This window comes from Homo sapiens, chromosome 14 (assembly GCF_000001405.40).
Source record: "Homo sapiens chromosome 14, GRCh38.p14 Primary Assembly".
In the NCBI taxonomy this organism is placed as follows: Eukaryota; Metazoa; Chordata; class Mammalia; order Primates; family Hominidae; genus Homo; species Homo sapiens.
In genome coordinates this window covers 44,884,192-44,896,275 of record NC_000014.9, presented here as the reverse complement: position 1 = coordinate 44,896,275, position 12,084 = coordinate 44,884,192, and the positions used below count along the sequence as shown (strand labels likewise).

Sequence of the window (12,084 nt, the reverse complement as noted above, 5' to 3'; positions counted from 1 at the left end):
ACTTCCATTTCTTGAGTTTTGGCTCTGCCCAAAAAAGAATAATTAATAGCTCTGGCAAAGCCTGCTCTTTTTAGTTTCCTGTTTTTTCTTATTTCTTATGGTATTTTATAGATGAGGAAACTGAGGCTCTTAGAGATAAACTAGTGTGTTGGAAAACTTGCAAAAAGTTCACTCTCAATATTAATCCTCTCCTACAGGTAGAAAAGCCCTTTAAAAATGTTTGTAAATGTGGATTATGTGTTTAATTATAAATCTCTCACAAGACATGGAGTTCATTTTATACTGATTAGGTCATTCTCTTCCTGAAAACAGCCATAGTATGGTGGATGACACCATTTCTGGAGAATAGTATTGAGATTGCTCATTAAACTCTGCCGAGTCTCAGCTAGATGGAGGAAGCATGGATTCCTTGAATACTTGGATAACTCACAAACATCACTGAGGCCTTTAACTGAAATTTCCATTCTGCATCTTTTCCACCGTCTTCAAAATCTGACATCTGAGTTGTAGGGTTTTTTTAGATATATTTACTGAAGTATAATTGGCATAGAATATATAGAGCATACTTAAAGTGTATAATTTTTATCAGTTTTGACATATGTATAACCCCTTAAACCATCACTGTGATCAAATGAGTATGCCCATCACACTTAAGTTTCTGCTTACCTACCGCCCCCCAACTCTGCCTTTTTTTTTTTTTTTTTTTTTTTTTTTTTTCAGAATCCTGATCTGTTACCCAGGCTGGAGTGCAGTGAATGATCTCGGCTTATTGCAACTTCCGCCTCCCAGGATCAAGAGTTTCTGGTATCTCAGCTTTCCGAGTAGCTGGGATTATAGACGTGCACCACCATGCCTAGCTAATTTTTGTATTTTTAGTAGAGGCAGAGTTTCACCATGTTGGCCAGGCTGGTCTCAAACTCCTGGCCTCAGGTGATCTGCCCACCTCGGCCTCCCAAAGTGCTGGGATTACAGGCGTGAGCCACCACACCTGGCCCTCATTCTCTTAGCAGTGTATTTTGAAGAGAAGTTTTAACTTTTAATAAAGTTTAATTTATTTATTATTTTATGGATTACATTTCTAGTGTTGTTTCTAAGAAATTTTTGCCTACCCCAAGCTCACAAAGAAATTTTCCTATGTTTTCTTATAAAAGTTTTATGTGTTCAAGCTGTACATTTAGATGTATGATGCATTGTAGTTAACTTTCTTATATAGTTTGAGGCATGTATCCAAGTTCATATTTGATGTATGGATACCCAGTCATCGCAGCAATTTTTTTTTTGAAAAGCCTGTACTTTTTCCACTGGGTTGCTTTTGTGCTTTTGTCAAAAATTAGTTGCGCAGCTTGGGCGCAGTAGCTCACGCCTGTAATCCCAGCAGTTTGGGAGGCCGAGGCGGGCGGATCACAAGATCAGGAGATCGAGACCATCCTGGCTAACATGGTGAAACCCCGTCTCTACTAAAAATATAAAAAATTAGCCGGGCATGGTGGCGGGTACCTGTAGTCCCAGCTACTTGGGAGGCTGAGGCAGGAGAATGGCGTGAACCAGGGGGGCGGAGCTTGCAGTGAGCCGAGATCACACCACTGCACTCCAGCCTGGGCGACAGAGCGAGTCTCCATCTAAACAAAAAAACAAAAACAAAAAAATTAGTTGCCCAATACCATTTTATAAACACTTTATTTATTTATTATCAATCATCAACCATATGTCACACAGTATGCTAGCAGTGGAGATATCAGTAAGTGTTCTTTGGTTGCAAAGACTGGAGACCAATATTGTTAATTTAAATAGGACATTTTTGGGGTTTTTTTTTGTTTTGTTTTGTTTTTTTTTTGAGACAGACTCTCGCTCTTTCGCCCAGGCCGGACTGCAGTGGCGCTATCTCGGCTCACTGCAAGCTCCGCCTCCCAGGTTCACGCCATTCTCCTGCCTCAGCCTCCCGAGTAGCTGGGATTACAGGCACCTGCCACTGTGCCCAGCTAATTTTTGTATTTTAAGTAGAGACGGGGTTTCACTGTGTTGGCCAGGCTGGTCTTGAATTCCTGACCTCAGGTGATTCACCCGCCTCAGCCTCCCAAAGTGCTGGGATTACAGGTGTGAGCCACTGCTCCCGGCCTTCTACTAGTCTCAATAAGTCCTCTTTAGAATTCAAATTATAATGCTCAGTTACATTACTAGTAAACTATTTTTAATCTCATTTTTCCAAAAGCTGAATTTTTGCTTTAAATCTATAAACTTTGTTGGTAGATGTTTAAAAAGGTCCAGACTCCACCACAACAGATAATCCAGTAATTATCCTGGGATGTAAAAATATCTGAAAAGATGAGAGGAAGACATTGATATCTGAACTTAAAGTTACAGAGCCTGTTTGGAGAGGCTATGTGACAGACACAACCAGCCCATAATTACCCCTCAATGAGAGGCCTTGAGAAAGAAATATCCTGATATCACTTTTCTCCTCCCTCTGATATAATGATGTGTTGTCATTATTTCTATTATTGTATACCGTTTGAAAGTGACACATTTTCTATCGCCCTTGCTTTGTTGATTGACAGTTCTGACAGTTTCCATGCTGGTTGACAAAACAAGTGATTCTGCAGTTGCATAAAGTTACATCTATTTTACTCCTGTCATTTGTGCTGTGCTTGCTGTACATTTTTACTGCTATATGGGAATTTAAGAAATAATTTTAAAGTGTTTATTATTATTATTAATTTATTTTTTGAAACAGAGTCTCACTCTGTTGCCTACCACACTGCAGCCTCATCCTCCCAGGCTCAAGGGCTCCTCCCACCTCAGCCTTCCAAGTAGCTGGGACTACAGGTGTATGCTACCATGCCCGGCTAATTTTTTTTGTATATTTTTTGTAGAGAAGGGGATTCACTCCATTGCCCAGGCTGGTGTTGAACTCCTGGACTCAAGCGATCTACCCAACTCGTCCTCCCAAAGTGTTGGGACTACAGGGATGAGCCACTGCGCCAGGCCAAATGAAAAAATAATTCATACTATCTTTGTTACCAGTCTTAAAATTTAAAATATACCCCATTTTATTTCATTTTTTTGAAACTTATCCTTTAAAAAATTGGTTTAAAGTCTTATTTTTCTGTTGGGTCTCATGTTCTTGGTAAAGTGGTCGTTAGATCAAGTTTGATGTACACAAATACCATTTATCTGTCTATCCTAGTACATTTGCTGAGCTCCCATCATGAACTTTGAGTCCCTGAGGATCTTGAAGTTAAGAAGGTTCCTGCTCTAGAAAATATGTAAGCTGTATAAACAACAATAACAATGAGGAAGGGCATGAAAATCTAATTTCTGTAACTCAATTCAATTCAGTCGATCTCATAGCCTTATTATCTGGGGAAAAATCAGAACACATAGGCCCTAAATTTAGTCATAAACTTTAGTCTAGATATATTTTCCAGAAGAAAGGGGTAGTCGTGGGGACTTAGCCCCAGAAGCAGCTGTCACTTGCCATTATATCAGACTCTGTTGCATTAAGCTTTCCAAAAATAGAATTCACATCTTCAAATTCCCGTATTCCTTTGGGTATCCCCAACAGACTTTTCCCCCAGTGAACAAACATTATGTTCTTACTTTTGACAATCATTTCAACTGTGATACAGGAATTTGGTTCTAAAAATTCAGGGACAGGATCAGCTCTTTCCAGCCCCTTCTAGCTCTAAATCTTAGGAAACAGTGGGTGCCACTTTTTCCCAATGTGAAGCCACATGGGCTGGGTCCTTTTTCTCCCTCAGATCACAGAAAGTAAAGTAAGCAAATAAGGGAAAAATCAGACTTTAGTTCACTAAAAGTGTTCTTTTTATTTGCCGACATGTTTAGTATTTCTGGTGCTCTTTATTCCTTTGCATATATCTAAGTTTCCCTCTGCTATCACTTCACTTCACTTTGAAAAAACTTGGTTTAACGTTTTCTGTAGTGCAGTCTGCTAGGATGGTTTTAAAAAATGGCTGCACACTCTTTTACATTGTTTCCATTGAGACATTGGGTCTTTGTTCCTTCTTCTTGAATCTGGGTAGACTAGTAGCCTTTGACCTACAGAGTACAGCAAAAATGAAACTCCGTGGCTTCTGAGGCTAGGTCATAAAAGAACATGCAATTTCTGCCTTATTCACTTGAATACTTGCTCTTAGAGCCCTGAACCATGATGTGAGAAGACCCCTATCCTGGAGAGGCTATATTCTGGTCAGCTGAGCAAGCTGAGCCCAGCCTTCTAGTCATTCCTGCCACAATGCCAGATATATGAGTGAAGGTCTCCAGATCCTCCAGACTTCCCATTCAGCAGATAAATACTGCTGATGACCTCCCTTGATACTAAAAGGAGTAAAATGCAAATCAAAACCACAATGAGACACCATCTCACACCAGTCAGAATGGCAATCATTAAAAAGTCAGGAAACAACAGGTGCTGGAGAGGATGTGGAGAAATAGGAACACTTTTACACTGTTGGTGGGACTGTAAACTAGTTCAACCATTGTGGAAGTCAGTGTGGCGATTCCTCAGGGATCTAGAACTAGAAATACCATTTGACCCAGCCATCCCATTACTGGGTATATACCCAAAGGACTATAAATCATGCTGCTATAAAGACACATGCACACGTATGTTTACTGTGGCACTATTCACAATAGCAAAGACTTGGAACCAACCCAAATGTCCAACAATGATAGACTGGATTAAGAAAATGTGGCACATATACACCATGGAATACTATGCAGCCATAAAAAATGATGAGTTCATGTCCTTTGTAGGGACATGGATGAAATTGGAAATCATCATTCTCAGTAAACTATCACAAGGACAAAAAACCAAACACCGCATGTTCTCACTCACAGGTGGGAATTGAAGAATGAGAACACATGGACACAGGAAGGGGAACATCACACTCTGGGGCCTGTTGTGGGGTGGGGGGAGGGGGGAGGGATAGCATTAGGAGATATACCTAATGCTAAATGACGAGTTAATGGGTGCAGCACACCAACATGGCACATGTATACATATGTAACTAACCTGCACATTGTGCACATGTACCCTAAAACTTAAAGTATAATTAAAAAAAAAAGATCACCCAGCTGAAACCTGCCCAAATCTCTCATTCTCTTAATCATGAGATATAATAAAATCATTATTGTTCTAAGCAACTATTTTTTGAAGCCCATTTATACATCATTAGATAAGTAGAACAGAATTTGGGGTGCCATTGTAATAAAAACCTAAAACATGAGCATTGCCTTTCGGACAAGATGTAAGGAAGAACTTGAAAGAGCTTTGAGGAGACTGTTAGTAGAATCCTGACAGGTATTGAGGAGGATGTCAATGAGGGCTTCAAGGAAAGTAAGGAAAATGTTATTGGAAGCGAGAGGAAAGGAGCCCCTTGTCATGTCATGGTAGATGGTTTAGCAAATGTGATAACATAGCAAATAGAAAATGTATTTAATGAACTGCTGTATCTGGCTTAGAGTACCAGGAAGAACTTTGAAAGTATCAACTGTTTTTTGTTTGTTTTTGAACTAGGTATCATAACATCTGGCTAGACAAATCTACACTAAATATTCAATTTTCAAACAGAATTTAGAAGAATTATGTAGGAACTAGATCTGAAAATGAAACTATTTCTTGTTGTTATTTTCTCCCAGCAGAAGATGCTCAAAGTAAGATAGAGCTGCAGGGCAAAGATCAAATCCTAAGGTCTTATTAGAAAAACATGAGTTCAAGGTAGACCTGAGTTCAAGGTAGACCTAAGTCCAAGGATGTGATTGAAAGCCTTTTGTTAAGAGTTCAGAAACAGATAAAAGACCTTGTAAGATTCTGTTAACTTAAATTCATGAGATGTACAAAGTTAGAAAAGAGAGTTTTATTTCTTATAAAGGGTTGCAGTTTGCAGGCTGGACATCCTGACAGGCCAGGAAGCACAGCCTCCAGCAGAGACAGAAAGCAAGCACTTAGAGGGAGGAAAGGGTGGAACAGGGATTTATGCCAAATGGGTTAGCTAAGTATACATAATCAACAGGTTATAGGAGGAGCTATGGATATTCACAAAGCGAGGCATGCAAGCATAGTAAGCAAACATGCATGTTACATGCATCCCATGTTCACTTTAGGGTGGAGACTTAACATTTAAATGCATTATTGAGTTGGGCCTCATATGTCAAAGGTGAAGGCACTCAGTACAGCCTTTGTAAACCAGCCAGAACCAGTCTACGGTCAGTGGTCTCTTATCAGGAGAAAGTTACTAAAATCAGCCTCTTGTCCAGTCAAAGCTACAGTTGTGGCTTGAAGAACAGAGGTGTCAGTCAGAGTCTGGTGGTTGATGAGCTGCAGTTGTTTTAGTATTGCTTACCTCAAGGCCAGTGCTTAATTAGCTGCTAGAGAAAAAGAAAAATCTGTGGCAGTTAAAACATACTTTAGTCTTTAAGTGTAGGAGTGCATGACTTAACTCTCGTCTGGCGTGGCCTTAGGTCTTGTTTATAATTTGGTATCTTATTGCCACAAAGTTCAAAGTCCATTCCATTAGTTTTATGATCTTTTATTTTATCAATTCTTAAGGGGTTAAAATACAGACTCTTAAACATCAAGGTTTCTAAGAATCTTAAGGGCATTGCCCCACAGCAGCCTTACAGGAAGCCTGAGGTAGAAAAGGGCTTATCTAGAAGATATTTATGGATGTGGTTTTTATCTAACAAAATCAATTATAAGTTGATACACAAAAAAATCCACAAAATTTTACAAGTAATTACATCAGTTCACATTAAAAAACAAACAAACAAACAAACAAAAAAACACCAGAGACTATACAAAGTGAAAAACGACTTCTGGACCCTTAAACTTCTATGAGCAGGCAGCAGGCTGAGGGGGCTACTTATCTGCAAAAATGGAACAGTTCTTGCAGAAAAGAATGTCTGAGAGGGCAAAACCAAGATCCCAAAGGGAAGAGCCAAAAATCATAGAAAATCATTCTCAGAAAGCAGGATAAGGCCTAACTGCAAAATAGTAATATGCCCAACTGGATTTTAGAATTTCAATGGATTGGTGATTTCCTATTTTCCTCCTTTATTGAATGGAAATATTTATTGCAGTTATTCTATTCCTGTCCCACCATTGTATGTTGGCCATGTATGGGATAGTAACTTGTCTCACTAGTTCACAAGTTTTCAGATCAAGAGTATCTGAACAGTATGGATGGAGCCTCATCCATACCTGGACTTGATTTGTTTGTCTCACCCACTAGAGTGTGCTTATTTGCAAACATCCACCTGGGATGAAAAGCGCTACAAAGCCTGGTCCAGTATTGCTTATCAGCTGATTCCCAATGTTCAGCAACTGAAGATGAACACAAGGAATTTTGCCCGAATTCTTGAAGTCGATGAAGTTCTACTGTTTGAAAGAGCTACATTCTTGGTTATTTCCCATTACCAGTGCAAAGAGCATCACGATGGCCACAGATTTGAGAAGATCAGCAACATTATTAAGCAGTTCAGCTGAGCTGCAATAAATTGGTCCCTTCTTTCCGGAGTATGGAAGTTATGAATTCTAACTTCACCTCATTCATTGACATCTTCACATCAAACATCTAGGTGACGGTTGTTACGTCAGATCCGTAGATGCCTTCTGTAGCTACTCTGATCAACAGTCGAAAAACCAGGAAACACTGAAAATCTGGAGAATGGATGGCCCCAAGCACAGTCTCTTTATGCGTTGAATATTGCCAAATGCTCTTTCTGAAAATGCTGAATTGCCTTTTCTGGGGAGCATATGTGCTTTTAAATATTCATAATATTGCGTGCTTAAAAGTGGACTTTGAGGCCGGGCGCAGTGGCTCACGACTGTAATCCCAGCACTTTGGGAGGCCGAGGTGGGGGGATCACAAGGTCAGGAGATCGAGACTATTCTGGCTAACACGGTGAAACCCTGTCTCTACTAAAAAGACAAAAAAATTAGCCGGGCGTGGTGGCGGGCACCTGTAGTCCCAGCTACTTGGGAGGCTGAGGCAGGAGAATGGCGTGAACCCGGGAGGCGGAGCTTGCAGTGAGCCGAGATGGAGCCACTGCATTCCAGCCTGGGCGACAGAGAGAGACTCCGTCTCAAAAAAAAAAAAAAAATCAACAAATGTTATAAAAGTATTTTTTAAAACATTTAACTGATTTTTCTATTGGGGGGAAACAGCTTAATGGTGGAATGTACAAAAACCTACCTGTTTCCTTTGTAAGACTCTAGACAGAGAGATCCAGGCCTGCAATTCAAGTAAGAGAAAGCCATTTTAGAATTTGGAGTTTGTCTTCTTGTAGATAGAAAAGTGTTATGAACTGAATGTTTGTGTCCCCTCCACCTCCATTCATATGTTGAAATCCTCAATGTGATGGTACTAGGAGGTGGAGTCTTCGGGAGGCTATTAGTTCGTGAGGGTGAAGCCCTCACAAATGGGATTAGTGTCTTTATAAAAGAGATCTCAGGGCTGTGGTGGCGGCGGTGGAGGCTGAGGCGGCGGCTGAGGCGGCTACGGAGGAAACAGAAGATGGCAGATTTTTTGAAAGGACTGCCTGTCTACAATAAAAGCAATTTTAGTCGATTTCACGGGGACTCCGTGTGCAAAGCCTCGAACCAACGGCCCTCAGTCTACCTGCCCACCCGAGAGTACCCGTCTGAACAGATCATCGTGACCGAAAAGACAAACATCCTCCTGCGCTACCTGCATCAGCAATGGACAAAAAGAACGCTGCCAAGAAGGAAGACCAGGAGCAAGTGGAGCTGGAAGGCGAGACCTCGGCGCCCCTCCGCAAGTTGGCGCTGACCCACAGCCCAGAGATACAGGAGGACACTTAAGACTCTCAACCCCACAGGCGCCTCCTGTCGGGTCTGCTCCTCGGTGGCCCACTCACCCGCCTCCTGGCCTGCCCATCCACACCCTGCGTCCACACCATTTCCAACCTCATAGGAGCCGACGTATTTATTTTTCTTGAGTTTTTATTTATGCTGTAACCTGTATCAAGCGTTGGTTAAAGGGGACATCAGACCCAGTAGTGTGATGTTGGTAGATGCTTTTTTAAAAAAAACATTGTCCCCCCGACCCCCGCCTTCCACCTGGCCAGTTTCCCCACTCCCGCCCCCAGTTCTCCAGAGAACCAGAGCGTGCCTGTGAGGGTCTCTAGCGAGGCTTTACTGTGGCCAGGCGGCAGGGGCCGGCCCAGGGCGGCCGACCCACCAGGACAGCCAAGCAGCCCTCTCCGACACTGGTCCAGGCCCTTGAGACTCGGTCTTGTCCCACGTTCCGCCCGGAACTCTCTCATGCCCAGACCTCACTCTGAGCTTGCGCGCATGTTGGGGAGAAGTCGGCCCTTGGGATCTTTCTCTTGAGTCACTTTTTCATAGACTCGTGGGTGATCCGTGTCCACCCCAATAAAAGGGTCTTTCTTACTTGGAAAAAAATAAAATAAAAAACATAAAAAAATGGCGGGAGGCAGAGAGCTCTCCTGTCCCTTTCCCACCATGTGAGGGAGGATACAAGGAGAAGTTATCAGTCTGCACCCTGGAAGAGGGCTCACACCAAAACTTGACCATGCTGGCACTCTGATCTTGGACTCCTAGTTTCCAAAACATTAGTGAGTATCCATAATGACTGGGCTTCAGAATCATTTGTGAAATTTTAAATAACACAGATGTGAGGATCCTATCCCTAAAGATTCTGAAACAGTAGATTTTAGTGGGGTCTAGAAATCTGTATTAAAATTATTTTTCAGATAACTGTGTTGTTTCCTGGCTTAAAAACCACACAGAGATGGAATGTGTGTATTGATTAGTAAGAAGAAATAAGCCTGTATGATCCAGGACTCTTTTGGTTACAAATGTCAGAAACTGAAACAAGCTTGAGAAAAAAGAGATTTATTGGTTCATATAAGTGGGAAGTTCAGAGTGGAGCTGGCTAGAGTTCTCCATTGGTGCCTTACAGGGGCTCACATATCATTAGCCTCCTCTCTCTTTCTTTGCTCCTTTTTTCAGCTCTACCAACAGGTCTTTCTGTGCAGTGGGAAAGGTGGCTCCCACAGCTGTAAGCTTTCATTTTTATTGTTCATGATTCAAAAGGAAGGAAGAAGAGACCTTTCCTCTTCCAGTATTCTCATATCAATCTGCATGAATGGGCTCTGGCCATCACCCCTTTGACCAGTCACCATGAAAAGGAGGATAGCTGTATGATTAACCAGGGGTCAAGGGGGCCTAGTGATCATCAGTTTTACCAGAACCATATATAATTGGAGAAGGTGCAGTTTTCCATTGGAAACAGTTATGCTGAGGAAATTAAAACACGGATGTCCTCTACTGAGATTCACCTACCTGGATATGTAATGCAAAGACTTGTGTTGATACCATAATTTATGATGGATCTTCTTTAGCATTAACTATTTCATCAAATGATGCAAAGTTATTGAGGTCACGTAATTTCAAGTAGGGAAACTTCAGTTTGAGTTATCGTGTAAGGGGTATAGTATGTACCTCTTACAATTTGAAAAATATGTCTTCTATCTCTCAACTCTAATCTTGATAGGTATGGTAGGCGGCCTTCTGAGATGGCTTCCAATGATCCCCACCTCTTTGTATTCACACCATTATGTAATCCCTTCTCTTTGGGTGTGGGCTGAGCTTAATGACTTCTAATGAATAGAATACAGCAAAAGTGATGGAATGTCACTTCCAAGATTGGGTTGTAAATACTATGACTTCCATCTTGTTGACACTTTTTCTCTTGCCTTTTTGGCTTGCTTGCTTTGATGAAGGAAGTTGCATGTTGGAGAGGCCCAAGTGGCAAGCAACTTCAGGCAGCCTCTGGCCAGCAGCCATCATGAAGCTTGCCAACAACCATGTTGGTGAGCTTAGAAGCCCATTCTCTGGCATTTTAAAATAATTTTTTTAATTTGAATTTTTAGTTAAAAATATTTGTTGTATGTTTAATTTTTGTGGGTACAAAGTTGTTGCATATATTATGGGTTACATGAGATATTTTGATACAGGCATGCAATGCATAATAAGCACATTAGGGTAAATGGGGTATCCATCACCTCAAGTACTTATCCTTTGGGTTGCAAACAATCCAATTACACTCTTTTAGTTATTTCAAAATGTGCAATTAAGTTATTTTGACTATAGTCACCCTGTTGTACTAGCAAATACTAGGTCTTGTTCATTTTTTTAAACTATTTTTTTTGTACCCATTAACCACCCCCACTTCATCCACACCCCCCCGCCCCCACCCACCCAAACAACCATTCTCAGCTTCTGGTAACCATCCTTCTACTCCATATTTTCAAGAGTTCAATTATTTCAATTTTTAGCTTCCATAAGTAATTGAGAACATATGAAGTTTGTCTTTCTGTGCCTGGCTTATTTTACTTAACATAATGATCTCTAGTTCCATCCATGTTGTTGCAAATGACAGGATCTCATTTTTTTATGGCTGAATATACTCCATTGAGTATATGTACCACATTTTCTTTATCTAGTCATCTATGGATGGACACTTAGGTTGCTTCTGAATCTTGCAAAAGATGTGTTGTGAATAGTACTGCAACAAACATGGGAGTGCAGATATCTCTTCAGTATACTGATTTCCTTTCTTTGGGGTATATACCTAGCTGTGGGATTGCTGGATCATATGGTAGCTCTATTTTTAGTGTTTCTTTTCTTTCTTTCTTTTGTTTTTTTTTGAGACAGGGTCCCACCCTGTCATTCAGGCTGGAGTGCAGTGGTACCATTTCGGCTTACTGCAACCTCCACCCCCTGAGGTCTAGCGATCCTCCTGCTGCACCTTCCCTAGTAACTGGGACTACAGCTGTGCACCACTATGTTCAACTAATTTTTGTATTTTTTTTGTAAAGATGGGTTTCGCCATGTTTACCAGACTCATCTCAGACTCCTGGACTCAAGTGATACACCTGCCTCGGCCTCCCTTCTCCCCATGCCTGGCCTATTTTTAGTTTTGTAATGATCCTCCAAACTGTTCTCCATAGTGGTTGTACTAATTTACATTCTCACCAACAATGTAAGAGGGTTCCCTTTTCTTCACATTCTTACCA

At 41.2% G+C, this 12,084-nt stretch overlaps 2 pseudogenes; both read left to right on the top strand.

Annotated features, from left to right (window-relative positions):
- RRAGAP1 (Ras related GTP binding A pseudogene 1) lies at nt 7,223-7,823 on the top strand (annotated as a pseudogene).
- On the top strand, nt 8,473-9,437 carry LOC401770 (DET1 and DDB1 associated 1 pseudogene; annotated as a pseudogene).